This window comes from Homo sapiens, chromosome 3 (assembly GCF_000001405.40).
Source record: "Homo sapiens chromosome 3, GRCh38.p14 Primary Assembly".
Taxonomy (NCBI): domain Eukaryota; kingdom Metazoa; phylum Chordata; class Mammalia; order Primates; family Hominidae; genus Homo; species Homo sapiens.
In genome coordinates, this window is record NC_000003.12 from 91815872 (window position 1) to 91833859 (window position 17988).

Below are 17988 nucleotides of genomic sequence, written 5' to 3' on the forward strand. Positions count from 1 at the left end.
TTTCTTCGTGTAATGATAGACAATAGAATTCTCAGTGAATTTTTTTCTGTGTGTGTGTATTCAACTCACAGGGTTGAACCTTCCTTTAGACAGTGCAGATTTGAAACACTTGTCTGTGGAATTTGCAAGGGGAGATTTCAAGCACTTTGAGGCCATTGGTGGAAAAGGAAATATCTTCGTATAAAAACTAGACAGAATCATTCTCAGGAACTACTTTGTGATATGTGCATTCAACTCCCAGAGTTTAACCTTTCTTTTCATAGATGAGTTTGGAAACAGTCAGTTTGTAAATTCTGCAACTGGATATTTGGACCTCTTTGAGGCTTTCGTTGGAAACGGGATTTCTTCACATAATGCTAGACAGAAGAATTCTCAGTAACTTCTTTTGGGATGTATGTATTCAAATCAGAGAGTTGAACCTTCCTTTAGACAGAGCGGATTGGAAACACTCTTTTTGTGGAATTTGCAAGTGGAAAATTCTAGCAGTATGAGGCCAATGGTACAAAAGGAAATATCTTCGTATAAAAACTAGACAGTATCATTCTCAGAAACTGCTTTGTGATGTGTGTATTAAACTCACAGAGTTGAACATTTCTTTGCATAGAGCAGTTTGGAAAGACTTAGTTTGTGCAGTGTGCAAGTGGATATTTGGAACTCTTTGAGGCCTTCGTTGGAAACGGGATTTCTTCTTATAATTTCTTGAAAAAAGAATTCTCAGTAGCTTCTTTGTGTGTGTGTATTCAACTCACAGAGTTGAACCTTCCTTTAGACAGAGCAGATTGGAAACACTCTTTTTGTGGAATTTGCAAGTGGAGAATTCTAGCGCTTTGACGCCAATGGTAGAAAGGAAATATCTTCGTATAAAAACTAGACAGTATCATTCTCAGAAGCTACTTTGTGATGTGTGCGTTCAACTCACAGAGTTTAACCTTTCTTTTCATAGAGCAGTTTGGAAACCCTCTGTTTGTGAAGTCTGCAAGTGGATATTTAAACGTCTTTGAGGCCTTCGTTGGAAACGGGATTTTTTCATATAAACCAGGACAGAAGAATTCTCAGAAACTTCTTGATTGTTATGTGTGCATTCAACTCACAGAGTTGAACCTTACTTTGGAAAGAGCAGTTTTCTAATACTCTTTTTGTAAAAGTTCCAAGTGAATACTTTGAGTGCTTTGAAGCCTACGGTTGACAACGAAATATCTTCATGTAAAAACTACAAAGAATCATTCGCAGAAACCACGTTGTGATCTCTGCATTCAACTCACAGAGTTCAACCTTTCTTCCTATAGAGCAGTTATGAAACAGTCTCTTTGTAGAATTTGCAAGGGTGTATTTAGAGGGCATTGAAGCCTACGGTAGAAAAGGAAATATCTTACCATAAAATCTAGTCAGAAGCATTCTCAGCAACTGAGTTGTGATGTTTGCATTCAACTCACAGAGTTCAACATTCCTTTTAATGGAGCGGTTTTGAAACACTCTTTTTGCAGAATCTGCAAGTGGATATTTGGACCTCTTTGAGGTCTTCGTTGGAAACGGGATTTCTTCATGTAATGCCAGACAGAAGAATTCTCAGTGAATTCTTTCTGTGTGTGTGTATTCAACTCACAGAGTTGAACGTTCCTTTAGACAGAGTAGATTGGAAACACTCTTTTTGTGGAATTTTCAGGTGGAGGTATCAAGCGCTTTGAGGCCAATGATAGAAAAGGAAATACCTTCGTATAATAATTAGACGGAATCATTCTCAGAAACTGCTTTGCAATGTGTGCGTTCAACTCACAGTGTTTAACCTTTCTTTTCATACAGTTGTTTCGAAACACTCTTTTTGCAGAATCTGCAAGTGGATATTTGGACCTCTTTGAAGTCTTCGTTGGAAATGGGATTTCTTCATACAATGCTAGACAGAACACTTCTCAGTAACTGCTTTTTCTGGTGTGTATTCAACTCTCAGAGTTGAACTTTCCTTTAGAAACAGCAGATTTGAAACTCTCTTTTTGTGGAATTTGCAAGTGGAGATTTCAGAGCTTTGAGGCCACTGGTAGAAAAGGAAATATCTTCGTATGCAAACTAGACAGAATCATTCTCAGAAACTACTTTGGTACGTGTGTGTTCAACTCACAGTGTTTAACCTTTCTTTTCATAGAGCAGTTTGGAAACACTCAGTTTGTAAAGTCAGCAACTGGATATTTGGATGTATTTGAGGCCTTCGTTGGAAACGGGATTTCTTCATATAATGCTAGACAGAAGAATTCTCAGTAACTTCTTTGGGTTGTGGGTATTCAAGTCACAGAGTTGAAGCTTCCTTTAGGCGGAGCAGATTGGAAACACTTTTTGTGGAATTTTCAGGGGGAGACTTCAAGCGCTTTGAAGTGAATGGTAGGAAAGGAAATATCTTCGTATAAAAACTAGACGGAGTCATTCTCAGAAACTACTTTGTGATGTTTGCGTTCAACTCACAGAGTTTAACGTTTCTTTTCATAGAGCAGTTTGGAAACACTCTTTTTGCAGAATCTGCAAGTGGATATTTGGACCTCTTTGTGGCCTTCGTTGGAAACGGGATTTTTCATATAATGCTAGACAGAAGAATTCTCAGTAACTTCTTTTTGTGGTGTGTATTCAACTCACAGAGTTGAACCTTCCTTTAGACAGAGCAGATTTGAAACTCTCTTTTTGTGGAATTTGCAAGTGGAGATTTCAAGCGCTTTGAGGCCAACGGCAGAAAAGGAAATATCTTCGTAGAAAAAATAGACGGAATCATTCTCAGAAACTGATTTGGGATGTGTGCATTGAACTCACAGTGTTTAACACTTCTTTTCATAGAGCACTTTGGAAACACTCAGTTTGTAATGTCTGCAGCTGGATATGTGGACCTCTTTGAGGCCTTCGTAGTAAACGGGATTTCTTCGTGTAATGATAGACAATAGAATTCTCAGTGAATTTTTTTCTGTGTGTGTGCATTCAACTCACAGAGTTGAACCTTCCTTCAGACAGTGCAGATTTGAAACACTTTTCTGTGGAATTTGTAAGGGGAGATTTCAAGCACTTTGAGGCCATTGGTGGAAAAGGGAATATCTTCGTATAAAAACTAGACAGAATCATTCTCAGGAACTACTTTGTGATATGTGCATTCAACTCACAGAGTTTAACCTTTCTTTTCATAGATGAGTTTGGAAACAGTCAGTTTGTAAATTCTGCAACTGGATATTTGGACCTCTTTGAGGCTTTCGTTGGAAACGGGATTTCTTCACATAATGCTAGACAGAAGAATTCTCAGTAACTTCTTTTGGGATGTATGTATTCAAATCAGAGAGTTGAACCTTCCTTTAGACAGAGCGGATTGGAAACACTCTTTTTGTGGAATTTGCAAGTGGAAAATTCTAGCAGTATGAGGCCAATGGTACAAAAGGAAATATCTTCGTATAAAAACTAGACAGTATCATTCTCAGAAACTGCTTTGTGATGTGTGTATTAAACTCACAGAGTTGAACATTTCTTTGCATAGAGCAGTTTGGAAAGACTTAGCTTGTGCAGTGTGCAAGTGGATATTTGGAACTCTTTGAGGCCTTCGTTGGAAACGGGATTTCTTCTTATAATTCTTGACAAAAGAATTCTCAGTAGCTTCTTTGTGTGTGTGTATTCAACTCACAGAGTTGAACCTTCCTTTAGACAGAGCAGATTGGAAACACTCTTTTTGTGGAATTTGCAAGTGGAGAATTCTAGCGCTTTGACGCCAATGGTAGAAAGGAAATATCTTCGTATAAAAACTAGACAGTATCATTCTCAGAAGCTACTTTGTGATGTGTGCGTTCAACTCACAGAGTTTAACCTTTCTTTTCATAGAGCAGTTTGGAAACCCTCTGTTTGTGAAGTCTGCAAGTGGATATTTAAACGTCTTTGAGGCCTTCGTTGGAAACGGGATTTCTTCATATAAACCAGGACAGAAGAATTCTCAGAAACTTCTTGATTGTTATGGGTGCATTCAACTCACAGAGTTGAACCTTACTTTGGAAAGAGCGGTTTTCTAACACTCTTTTTGTAAAAGTTCCAAGTGAATACTTTGAGTGCTTTGAAGCCTACGGTTGACAACGAAATATCTTCATGTAAAAACTACAAAGAATCATTCGCAGAAACCACGTTGTGATCTCTGCATTCAACTCACAGAGTTGAACCTTTCTTCCTATAGAGCAGTTATGAAACAGTCTCTTTGTAGAATTTGCAAGGGTGTATTTAGAGGGCATTGAAGCCTACGGTATAAAAGGAAATATCTTACCATAAAATCTAGTCAGAAGCATTCTCAGCAACTGAGTTGTGATGTTTCCATTCAACTCACAGAGTTCAACATTCCTTTTAATGGAGCGGTTTTGAAACACTCTTTTTGCAGAATCTGCAAGTGGATATTTGGACCTCTTTGAGGCCTTCGTTGGAAACGGGATTTCTTCATGTAATGCCAGACAGAAGAATTCTCAGTGAATTCTTTCTGTGTGTGTGTATTCAACTCACAGAGTTGAACGTTCCTTTAGACAGAGTAGATTGGAAACACTCTTTTTGTGGAATTTTCAGGTGGAGGTATCAAGCGCTTTGAGGCCAATGATAGAAAAGGAAATACCTTCGTATAATAATTAGACGGAATCATTCTCAGAAACTGCTTTGCAATGTGTGCGTTCAACTCACAGTGTTTAACCTTTCTTTTCATACAGTTGTTTCGAAACACTCTTTTTGCAGAATCTGCAAGTGGATATTTGGACCTCTTTGAAGTCTTCGTTGGAAATGGGATTTCTTCATATAATGCTAGACAGAAGACTTCTCAGTAACTGCTTTTTCTGGTGTGTATTCAACTCTCAGAGTTGAACTTTCCTTTACAAACAGCAGATTTGAAACTCTCTTTTTGTGGAATTTGCAAGTGGAGATTTCAGAGCTTTGAGGCCAATGGTAGAAAAGGAAATATCTTCGTATGCAAACTAGACAGAATCATTCTCAGAAACTACTTTGGTACGTGTGTGTTCAACTCACAGTGTTTAACCTTTCTTTTCATAGAGCAGTTTGGAAACACTCAGTTTGTAAAGTCAGCAACTGGATATTTGGATGTATTTGAGGCCTTCGTTGGAAACGGGATTTCTTCATATAATGCTAGACAGAAGAATTCTCAGTAACTTCTTTGGGTTGTGGGTATTCAACTCACAGAGTTGAAGCTTCCTTTAGGCGGAGCAGATTGGAAACACTTTTTGTGGAATTTTCAGGGGGAGACTTCAAGCGCTTTGAAGTGAATGGTAGGAAAGGAAATATCTTCGTATAAAAACTAGACGGAGTCATTCTCAGAAACTACTTTGTGATGTTTGCGTTCAACTCACAGAGTTTAACGTTTCTTTTCATAGAGCAGTTTGGAAACACTCTTTTTGCAGAATCTGCAAGTGGATATTTGGACCTCTTTGTGGCCTTCGTTGGAAACGGGATTTTTCATATAATGCTAGACAGAAGAATTCTCAGTAACTTCTTTTTGTGGTGTGTATTCAACTCACAGAGTTGAACCTTCCTTTAGACAGAGCAGATTTGAAACTCTCTTTTTGTGGAATTTGCAAGTGGAGATTTCAAGCGCTTTGAGGCCAACGGCAGAAAAGGAAATATCTTCGTAGAAAAAATAGACGGAATCATTCTCAGAAACTGCTTTGGGATGTGTGCATTGAACTCACAGTGTTTAACACTTCTTTTCATAGAGCACTTTGGAAACACTCAGTTTGTAATGTCTGCAGCTGGATATTTGGACCTCTTTGAGGCCTTCGTGGTAAACGGGATTTCTTCGTGTAATGATAGACAATAGAATTCTCAGTGAATTTTTTTCTGTGTGTGTGTATTCAACTCACAGGGTTGAACCTTCCTTTAGACAGTGCAGATTTGAAACACTTGTCTGTGGAATTTGCAAGGGGAGATTTCAAGCACTTTGAGGCCATTGGTGGAAAAGGAAATATCTTCGTATGAAAACTAGACAGAATCATTCTCAGGAACTACTTTGTGATATGTGCATTCAACTCACAGAGTTTAACCTTTCTTTTCATAGATGAGTTTGGAAACAGTCAGTTTGTAAATTCTGCAACTGGATATTTGGACCTCTTTGAGGCTTTCGTTGGAAACGGGATTTCTTCACATAATGCTAGACAGAAGAATTCTCAGTAACTTCTTTTGGGATGTATGTATTCAAATCAGAGAGTTGAACCTTCCTTTAGACAGAGCGGATTGGAAACACTCTTTTTGTGGAATTTGCAAGTGGAAAATTCTAGCAGTATGAGGCCAATGGTACAAAAGGAAATATCTTCGTATAAAAACTAGACAGTATCATTCTCAGAAACTGCTTTGTGATGTGTGTATTAAACTCACAGAGTTGAACATTTCTTTGCATAGAGCAGTTTGGAAAGACTTAGTTTGTGCAGTGTGCAAGTGGATATTTGGAACTCTTTGAGGCCTTCGTTGGAAACGGGATTTCTTCTTATAATTCTTGACAAAAGAATTCTCAGTAGCTTCTTTGTGTGTGTGTATTCAACTCACAGAGTTGAACCTTCCTTTAGACAGAGCAGATTGGAAACACTCTTTTTGTGGAATTTGCAAGTGGAGAATTCTAGCGCTTTGACGCCAATGGTAGAAAGGAAATATCTTCGTATAAAAACTAGACAGTATCATTCTCAGAAGCTACTTTGTGATGTGTGCGTTCAACTCACAGAGTTTAACCTTTCTTTTCATAGAGCAGTTTGGAAACCCTCTGTTTGTGAAGTCTGCAAGTGGATATTTAAACGTCTTTGAGGCCTTCGTTGGAAACGGGATTTTTTCATATAAACCAGGACAGAAGAATTCTCAGAAACTTCTTGATTGTTATGTGTGCATTCAACTCACAGAGTTGAACCTTACTTTGGAAAGAGCAGTTTTCTAACACTCTTTTTGTAAAAGTTCCAAGTGAATACTTTGAGTGCTTTGAAGCCTACGGTTGACAACGAAATATCTTCATGTAAAAACTACAAAGAATCATTCGCAGAAACCACGTTGTGATCTCTGCATTCAACTCACAGAGTTGAACCTTTCTTCCTATAGAGCAGTTATGAAACAGTCTCTTTGTAGAATTTGCAAGGGTGTATTTAGAGGGCATTGAAGCCTACGGTAGAAAAGGAAATATCTTACCATAAAATCTAGTCAGAAGCATTCTCAGAAACTGAGTTGTGATGTTTGCATTCAACTCACAGACTTCAACATTCCTTTTAATGGAGCGGTTTTGAAACACTCTTTTTGCAGAATCTGCAAGTGGATATTTGGACCTCTTTGAGGCCTTCGTTGGAAACGGGATTTCTTCATGTAATGCCAGACAGAAGAATTCTCAGTGAATTCTTTCTGTGTGTGTGTATTCAACTCACAGAGTTGAACGTTCCTTTAGACAGAGTAGATTGGAAACACTCTTTTTGTGGAATTTTCAGGTGGAGGTATCAAGCGCTTTGAGGCCAATGATAGAAAAGGAAATACCTTCGTATAATAATTAGACGGAATCATTCTCAGAAACTGCTTTGCAATGTGTGCGTTCAACTCACAGTGTTTAACCTTTCTTTTCATACAGTTGTTTCGAAACACTCTTTTTGCAGAATCTGCAAGTGGATATTTGGACCTCTTTGAAGTCTTCGTTGGAAATGGGATTTCTTCATATAATGCTAGACAGAAGACTTCTCAGTAACTGCTTTTTCTGGTGTGTATTCAACTCTCAGAGTTGAATTTTCCTTTAGAAACAGCAGATTTGAAACTCTCTTTTTGTGGAATTTGCAAGTGGAGATTTCAGAGCTTTGAGGCCAATGGTAGAAAAGGAAATATCTTCGTATGCAAACTAGACAGAATCATTCTCAGAAACTACTTTGGTACGTGTGTGTTCAACTCACAGTGTTTAACCTTTCTTTTCATAGAGCAGTTTGGAAACACTCAGTTTGTAAAGTCAGCAACTGGATATTTGGATGTATTTGAGGCCTTCGTTGGAAACGGGATTTCTTCATATAATGCTAGACAGAAGAATTCTCAGTAACTTCTTAGGGTTGTGGGTATTCAACTCACAGAGTTGAAGCTTCCTTTAGGCGGAGCAGATTGGAAACACTTTTTGTGGAATTTTCAGGGGGAGACTTCAAGCGCTTTGAAGTGAATGGTAGAAAAGGAAATATCTTCGTATAAAAACTAGACGGAGTCATTCTCAGAAACTACTTTGTGATGTTTGCATTCAACTCACAGAGTTTAACGTTTCTTTTCATAGAGCAGTTTGGAAACACTCTTTTTGCAGAATCTGCAAGTGGATATTTGGACCTCTTTGTGGCCTTCGTTGGAAACGGGATTTTTCATATAATGCTAGACAGAAGAATTCTCAGTAACTTCTTTTTGTGGTGTGTATTCAACTCACAGAGTTCAACTTTCCTTTAGACAGAGCAGATTTGAAACTCTCTTTTTGTGGAATTTGCAAGTGGAGATTTCAAGCGCTTTGAGTTCAATGGTAGAAAAGGAAATATCTTCGTAGAAAAAATAGACGGAATCATTCTCAGAAACTGCTTTGGGATGTGTGCATTGAACTCACAGTGTTTAACACTTCTTTTCATAGAGCACTTTGGAAACACTCAGTTTGTAATGTCTGCAGCTGGATATTTGGACCTCTTTGAGGCCTTCGTAGTAAACGGGATTTCTTCGTGTAATGATAGACAATAGAATTCTCAGTGAATTTTTTTCTGTGTGTGTGTATTCAATTCACAGGGTTGAACCTTCCTTTAGACAGTGCAGATTTGAGACACTTGTCTGTGGAATTTGCAAGGGGAGATTTCAAGCACTTTGAGGCCATTGGTGGAAAAGGAAATATCTTCGTATAAAAACTAGACAGAATCATTCTCAGGAACTACTTTGTGATATGTGCATTCAACTCACAGAGTTTAACCTTTCTTTTCATAGATGAGTTTGGAAACAGTCAGTTTGTAAATGCTGCAACTGGATATTTGGGCCTCTTTGAGGCTTTCGTTGGAAACGGGATTTCTTCACATAATGCTAGACAGAAGAATTCTCAGTAACTTCTTTTGGGATGTATGTATTCAAATCAGAGAGTTGAACCTTCCTTTAGACAGAGCGGATTGGAAACACTCTTTTTGTGGAATTTGCAAGTGGAAAATTCTAGCAGTATGAGGCCAATGGTACAAAAGGAAATATCTTCGTATAAAAACTAGACAGTATCATTCTCAGAAACTGCTTTGTGATGTGTGTATTAAACTCACAGAGTTGAACATTTCTTTGCATAGAGCAGTATGGAAAGACTTAGTTTGTGCAGTGTGCAAGTGGATATTTGGAACTCTTTGAGGCCTTGGTTGGAAACGGGATTTCTTCTTATAATTCTTGACAAAAGAATTCTCAGTAGCTTCTTTGTGTGTGTGTACTCAACTCACAGAGTTGAACCTTCCTTTAGACAGAGCAGATTGGAAACACTCTTTTTGTGGAATTTGCAAGTGGAAAATTCTAGCAGTATGAGGCCAATGGTACAAAAGGAAATATCTTCGTATAAAAACTAGACAGTAATCATTCTCAGAAACTACTTTGTGATGTGTGCGTTCAACTCACAGTGTTTACCCTTTCTTTTCATAGAGCAGTTTGGAAACACTCTGTTTGTGAAGTCTGCAAGTGGATATTTAAACGTCTTTGAGGCCTTCGTTGGAAACGGGATTTCTTCATATAAACCAGGACAGAAGAATTCTCAGAAACTTCTTGTTTGTTATGTGTGCATTCAACTCACAGAGTTGAACCTTACTTTGGAAAGAGCAGTTTTCTAACACTCTTTTTGTAAAAGTTCCAAGTGAATACTTTGAGTGCTTTGAAGCCTACGGTAGACAACGAAATATCTTCATGTAAAAACTACAAAGAATCATTCGCAGAAACCACGTTGTGATCTCTGCATTCAACTCACAGAGTTGAACCTTTCCTCCTATAGAGCAGTTATGAAGCAGTCTCTTTGTAGAATTTGCAAGGGTGTATTTACAGGGCATTGAAGCCTACGGTAGAAAAGGAAATATCTTACCATAAAATCTAGTCAGAAGCATTCTCAGAAACTGAGTTGTGATGTTTGCATTCAACTCACAGAGTTCAACATTCCTTTTAATGGAGCGGTTTTGAAACACTCTTTTTGCAGAATCTGCAAGTGGATATTTGGACCTCTTTGAGGCCTTCGTTGGAAACGGGATTTCTTCATGTAATGCCAGACAGAAGAATTCTCAGTGAATTCTTTCTGTGTGTGTGTATTCAACTCACAGAGTTGAACGTTCCTTTAGACAGAGTAGATTGGAAACACTCTTTTTGTGGAATTTTCAGGTGGAGGTATCAAGCGCTTTGAGGCCAATGATAGAAAAGGAAATACCTTCGTATAATAATTAGACGGAATCATTCTCAGAAACTGCTTTGCAATGTGTGCGTTCAACTCACAGTGTTTAACCTTTCTTTTCATACAGTTGTTTCGAAACACTCTTTTTGCAGAATCTGCAAGTGGATATTTGGACCTCTTTGAAGTCTTCGTTGGAAATGGGATTTCTTCATATAATGCTAGACAGAAGACTTCTCAGTAACTGCTTTTTCTGGTGTGTATTCAACTCTCCGAGTTGAACTTTCCTTTAGAAACAGCAGATTTGAAACTCTCTTTTTGTGGAATTTGCAAGTGGAGATTTCAGAGCTTTGAGGCCACTGGTAGAAAAGGAAATATCTTCGTATGCAAACTAGACAGAATCATTCTCAGAAACTACTTTGGTACGTGTGTGTTCAACTCACAGTGTTTAACCTTTCTTTTCATAGAGCAGTTTGGAAACACTCAGTTTGTAAAGTCAGCAACTGGATATTTGGATGTATTTGAGGCCTTCGTTGGAAACGGGATTTCTTCATATAATGCTAGACAGAAGAATTCTCAGTAACTTCTTTGGGTTGTGGGTATTCAACTCACAGAGTTGAAGCTTCCTTTAGGCGGAGCAGATTGGAAACACTTTTTGTGGAATTTTCAGGGGGAGACTTCAAGCGCTTTGAAGTGAATGGTAGGAAAGGAAATATCTTCGTATAAAAACTAGACGGAGTCATTCTCAGAAACTACTTTGTGATGTTTGCGTTCAACTCACAGAGTTTAACGTTTCTTTTCATAGAGCAGTTTGGAAACACTCTTTTTGCAGAATCTGCAAGTGGATATTTGGACCTCTTTGTGGCCTTCGTTGGAAACGGGATTTTTCATATAATGCTAGACAGAAGAATTCTCAGTAACTTCTTTTTGTGGTGTGTATTCAACTCACAGAGTTGAACCTTCCTTTAGACAGAGCAGATTTGAAACTCTCTTTTTGTGGAATTTGCAAGTGGAGATTTCAAGCGCTTTGAGGCCAACGGTAGGAAAGGAAATATCTGCGTAGAAAAAATAGACGGAATCATTCTCAGAAACTGCTTTGGGATGTGTGCATTGAACTCACAGTGTTTAACACTTCTTTTCATAGAGCACTTTGGAAACACTCAGTTTGTCATGTCTGCAGCTGGATATTTGGACCTCTTTGAGGCCTTCGTAGTAATCGGGATTTCTTCGTGTAATGATAGACAATAGAATTCTCAGTGAATTTTTTTCTGTGTGTGTGTATTCAACTCACAGGGTTGAACCTTCCTTTAGACAGTGCAGATTTGAAACACTTGTCTGTGGAATTTGCAAGGGGAGATTTCAAGCACTTTGAGGCCATTGGTGGAAAAGGAAATATCTTCGTATAAAAACTAGACAGAATCATTCTCAGGAACTACTTTGTGATATGTGCATTCAACTCCCAGAGTTTAACCTTTCTTTTCATAGATGAGTTTGGAAACAGTCAGTTTGTAAATTCTGCAACTGGATATTTGGACCTCTTTGAGGCTTTCGTTGGAAACGGGATTTCTTCACATAATGCTAGACAGAAGAATTCTCAGTAACTTCTTTTGGGATGTATGTATTCAAATCAGAGAGTTGAACCTTCCTTTAGACAGAGCGGATTGGAAACACTCTTTTTGTGGAATTTGCAAGTGGAAAATTCTAGCAGTATGAGGCCAATGGTACAAAAGGAAATATCTTCGTATAAAAACTAGACAGTATCATTCTCAGAAACTGCTTTGTGATGTGTGTATTAAACTCACAGAGTTTAACCTTTCTTTTCATAGAGCAGTTTGGAAACCCTCTGTTTGTGAAGTCTGCAAGTGGATATTTAAACGTCTTTGAGGCCTTCGTTGGAAACGGGATTTTTTCATATAAACCAGGACAGAAGAATTCTCAGAAACTTCTTGATTGTTATGTGTGCATTCAACTCACAGAGTTGAACCTTACTTTGGAAAGAGCAGTTTTCTAACACTCTTTTTGTAAAAGTTCCAAGTGAATACTTTGAGTGCTTTGAAGCCTACGGTTGACAACGAAATATCTTCATGTAAAAACTACAAAGAATCATTCGCAGAAACCACGTTGTGATCTCTGCATTCAACTCACAGTGTTGAACCTTTCTTCCTATAGAGCAGTTATGAAACAGTCTCTTTGTAGAATTTGCAAGGGTGTATTTAGAGGGCATTGAAGCCTACGGTAGAAAAGGAAATATCTTACCATAAAATCTAGTCAGAAGCATTCTCAGAAACTGAGTTGTGATGTTTGCATTCAACTCACAGAGTTCAACATTCCTTTTAATGGAGCGGTTTTGAAACACTCTTTTTGCAGAATCTGCAAGTGGATATTTGGACCTCTTTGAGGCCTTCGTTGGAAACGGGATTTCTTCATGTAATGCCAGACAGAAGAATTCTCAGTGAATTCTTTCTGTGTGTGTGTATTCAACTCACAGAGTTGAACGTTCCTTTAGACAGAGTAGATTGGAAACACTCTTTTTGTGGAATTTTCAGGTGGAGGTATCAAGCGCTTTGAGGCCAATGATAGAAAAGGAAATACCTTCGTATAATAATTAGACGGAATCATTCTCAGAAACTGCTTTGCAATGTGTGCGTTCAACTCACAGTGTTTAACCTTTCTTTTCATACAGTTGTTTCGAAACACTCTTTTTGCAGAATCTGCAAGTGGATATTTGGACCTCTTTGAAGTCTTCGTTGGAAATGGGATTTCTTCATATAATGCTAGACAGAAGACTTCTCAGTAACTGCTTTTTCTGGTGTGTATTCTACTCTCAGAGTTGAACTTTCCTTTAGAAACAGCAGATTTGAAACTCTCTTTTTGTGGAATTTGCAAGTGGAGATTTCAGAGCTTTGAGGCCAATGGTAGAAAAGGAAATATCTTCGTATGCAAACTAGACAGAATCATTCTCAGAAACTACTTTGGTACGTGTGTGTTCAACTCACAGTGTTTAACCTTTCTTTTCATAGAGCAGTTTGGAAACACTCAGTTTGTAAAGTCAGCAACTGGATATTTGGATGTATTTGAGGCCTTCGTTGGAAACGGGATTTCTTCATATAATGCTAGACAGAAGAATTCTCAGTAACTTCTTTGGGTTGTGGGTATTCAACTCACAGAGTTGAAGCTTCCTTTAGGCGGAGCAGATTGGAAACACTTTTTGTGGAATTTTCAGGGGGAGACTTCAAGCGCTTTGAAGTGAATGGTAGGAAAGGAAATATCTTCGTATAAAAACTAGACGGAGTCATTCTCAGAAACTACTTTGTGATGTTTGCGTTCAACTCACAGAGTTTAACGTTTCTTTTCATAGAGCAGTTTGGAAACACTCTTTTTGCAGAATCTGCAAGTGGATATTTGGACCTCTTTGTGGCCTTCGTTGGAAACGGGATTTTTCATATAATGCTAGACAGAAGAATTCTCAGTAACTTCTTTTTGTGGTGTGTATTCAACTCACAGAGTTGAACCTTCCTTTAGACAGAGCAGATTTGAAACTCTCTTTTTGTGGAATTTGCAAGTGGAGATTTCAAGCGCTTTGAGGCCAACGGCAGAAAAGGAAATATCTTCGTAGAAAAAATAGACGGAATCATTCTCAGAAACTGCTTTGGGATGTGTGCATTGAACTCACAGTGTTTAACACTTCTTTTCATAGAGCACTTTGGAAACACTCAGTTTATAATGTCTGCAGCTGGATATTTGGACCTCTTTGAGGCCTTCGTAGTAAACGGGATTTCTTCGTGTAATGATAGACAATAGCAATTCTCAGTGAATTTTTTTCTGTGTGTGTGTATTCAACTCACAGGGTTGAACCATCCTTTAGACAGTGCAGATTTGAAACACTTGTCTGTGGAATTTGCAAGGGGAGATTTCAAGCACTTTGAGGCCATTGGTGGAAAAGGAAATATCTTCGTATGAAAACTAGACAGAATCATTCTCAGGAACTACTTTGTGATATGGGCATTCAACTCACAGAGTTTAACCTTTCTTTTCATAGATGAGTTTGGAAACAGTCAGTTTGTAAATTCTACAACTGGATATTTGGACCTCTTTGAGGCTTTCGTTGGAAACGGGATTTCTTCACATAATGCTAGACAGAAGAATTCTCAGTAACTTCTTTTGGGATGTATGTATTCAAATCAGAGAGTTGAACCTTCCTTTAGACAGAGCGGATTGGAAACACTCTTTTTGTGGAATTTGCAAGTGGAAAATTCTAGCAGTATGAGGCCAATGGTACAAAAGGAAATATCTTCGTATAAAAACTAGACAGTATCATTCTCAGAAACTGCTTTGTGATGTGTGAATTAAACTCACAGAGTTGAACATTTCTTTGCATAGAGCAGTTTGGAAAGACTTAGTTTGTGCAGTGTGCAAGTGGATATTTGGAACTCTTTGAGGCCTTCGTTGGAAACGGGATTTCTTCTTATAATTCTTGACAAAAGAATTCTCAGTAGCTTCTTTGTGTGTGTGTATTCAACTCACAGAGTTGAACCTTCCTTTAGACAGAGCAGATTGGAAACACTCTTTTTGTGGAATTTGCAAGTGGAGAATTCTAACGCTTTGACGCCAATGGTAGAAAGGAAATATCTTCGTATAAAAACTAGACAGTATCTTTCTCAGAAACAACTTTGTGATGTGTGCGTTCAACTCACAGAGTTTAACCTTTCTTTTCATAGAGCAGTTTGGAAACACTCTGTTTGTGAAGTCTGCAAGTGGATATTTAAACGTCTCTGAGGCCTTCGTTGGAAACGGGATTTTTTCATATAAACCAGGACAGAAGAATTCTCAGAAACTTCTTGATTGTTATGTGTGCATTCAACTCACAGAGTTGAACCTTACTTTGGAAAGAGCAGTTTTCTAACACTCTTTTTGTAAAAGTTCCAAGTGAATACTTTGAGTGCTTTGAAGCCTACGGTTGACAACGAAATATCTTCCTGTAAAAACTACAAAGAATCATTCGCAGAAACCACGTTGTGATCTCTGCATTCAACTCACAGAGTTGAACCTTTCTTCCTATAGAGCAGTTATGAAACAGTCTCTTTGTAGAATTTGCAAGGGTGTATTTAGAGGGCATTGAAGCCTACGGTAGAAAAGGAAATATCTTACCATAAAATCTAGTCAGAAGCATTCTCAGCAACTGAGTTGTGATGTTTCCATTCAACTCACAGAGTTCAACATTCCTTTTAATGGAGCGGTTTTGAAACACTCTTTTTGCAGAATCTGCAAGTGGATATTTGGACCTCTTTGAGGCCTTCGTTGGAAACGGGATTTCTTCATGTAATGCCAGACAGAAGAATTCTCAGTGAATTCTTTCTGTGTGTGTGTATTCAACTCACAGAGTTGAACGTTCCTTTAGACAGAGTAGATTGGAAACACTCTTTTTGTGGAATTTTCAGGTGGAGGTATCAAGCGCTTTGAGGCCAATGATAGAAAAGGAAATACCTTCGTATAATAATTAGACGGAATCATTCTCAGAAACCGCTTTGCAATGTGTGCGTTCAACTCACAGTGTTTAACCTTTCTTTTCATACAGTTGTTTCGAAACACTCTTTTTGCAGAATCTGCAAGTGGATATTTGGACCTCTTTGAAGTCTTCGTTGGAAATGGGATTTCTTCATATAATGCTAGACAGAAGACTTCTCAGTAACTGCTTTTTCTGGTGTGTATTCAACTCTCAGAGTTGAACTTTCCTTTAGAAACAGCAGATTTGAAACTCTCTTTTTGTGGAATTTGCAAGTGGAGATTTCAGAGCTTTGAGGCCAATGGTAGAAAAGGAAATATCTTCGTATGCAAACTAGACAGAATCATTCTCAGAAACTACTTTGGTACGTGTGTGTTCAACTCACAGTGTTTAACCTTTCTTTTCATAGAGCAGTTTGGAAACACTCAGTTTGCAAAGTCAGCAACTGGATATTTGGATGTATTTGAGGCCTTCGTTGGAAACGGGATTTCTTCATATAATGCTAGACAGAAGAATTCTCAGTAACTTCTTTGGGTTGTGGGTATTCAAGTCACAGAGTTGAAGCTTCCTTTAGGCGGAGCAGATTGGAAACACTTTTTGTGGAATTTTCAGGGGGAGACTTCAAGCGCTTTGAAGTGAATGGTAGGAAAGGAAATATCTTCGTATAAAAACTAGACGGAGTCATTCTCAGAAACTACTTTGTGATGTTTGCGTTCAACTCACAGAGTTTAACGTTTCTTTTCATAGAGCAGTTTGGAAACACTCTTTTTGCAGAATCTGCAAGTGGATATTTGGACCTCTTTGTGGCCTTCGTTGGAAACGGGATTTTTCATATAATGCTAGACAGAAGAATTCTCAGTAACTTCTTTTTGTGGTGTGTATTCAACTCACAGAGTTGAACCTTCCTTTAGACAGAGCAGATTTGAAACTCTCTTTTTGTGGAATTTGCAAGTGGAGATTTCAAGCGCTTTGAGGCCAACGGCAGAAAAGGAAATATCTTCGTAGAAAAAATAGACGGAATCATTCTCAGAAACTGCTTTGGGATGTGTGCATTGAACTCACAGTGTTTAACACTTCTTTTCATAGAGCACTTTGGAAACACTCAGTTTATAATGTCTGCAGCTGGATATTTGGACCTCTTTGAGGCCTTCGTAGTAAACGGGATTTCTTCGTGTAATGATAGACAATAGAATTCTCAGTGAATTTTTTTCTGTGTGTGTGTATTCAACTCACAGGGTTGAACCATCCTTTAGACAGTGCAGATTTGAAACACTTGTCTGTGGAATTTGCAAGGGGAGATTTCAAGCACTTTGAGGCCATTGGTGGAAAAGGAAATATCTTCGTATGAAAACTATACAGAATCATTCTCAGGAACTACTTTGTGATATGGGCATTCAACTCCCAGAGTTTAACCTTTCTTTTCATAGATGAGTTTGGAAACAGTCAGTTTGTAAATTCTGCAACTGGATATTTGGACCTCTTTGAGGCTTTCGTTGGAAACGGGATTTCTTCACATAATGCTAGACAGAAGAATTCTCAGTAACTTCTTTTGGGATGTATGTATTCAAATCAGAGAGTTGAACCTTCCTTTAGACAGAGCGGATTGGAAACACTCTTTTTGTGGAATTTGCAAGTGGAAAATTCTAGCAGTATGAGGCCAATGGTACAAAAGGAAATATCTTCGTATAAAAACTAGACAGTATCATTCTCAGAAACTGCTTTGTGATGTGTGAATTAAACTCACAGAGTTGAACATTTCTTTGCATAGAGCAGTTTGGAAAGACTTAGTTTTTGCAGTGTGCAAGTGGATATTTGGAACTCTTTGAGGCCTTCGTTGGAAACGGGATTTCTTCTTATAATTCTTGACAAAAGAATTCTCAGTAGCTTCTTTGTGTGTGTGTATTCAACTCACAGAGTTGAACCTTCCTTTAGACAGAGCAGATTGGAAACACTCTTTTTGTGGAATTTGCAAGTGGAGAATTCTAACGCTTTGACGCCAATGGTAGAAAGGAAATATCTTCGTATAAAAACTAGACAGTATCATTCTCAGAAACAACTTTGTGATGTGTGCGTTCAACTCACAGAGTTTAACCTTTCTTTTCATAGAGCAGTTTGGAAACACTCTGTTTGTGAAGTCTGC

At 38.2% G+C, this 17988-nt stretch overlaps 1 annotated feature.

Moving 5' to 3' along the window:
* Positions 1 to 17988: part of a centromere (Linear centromere model derived predominantly from reads generated in PMID: 17803354. This region does not represent an actual centromere sequence, as long-range ordering of repeats and unmapped WGS contigs is not provided by the model. For details of model production, see http://arxiv.org/abs/1307.0035.) that runs on past both edges of the window.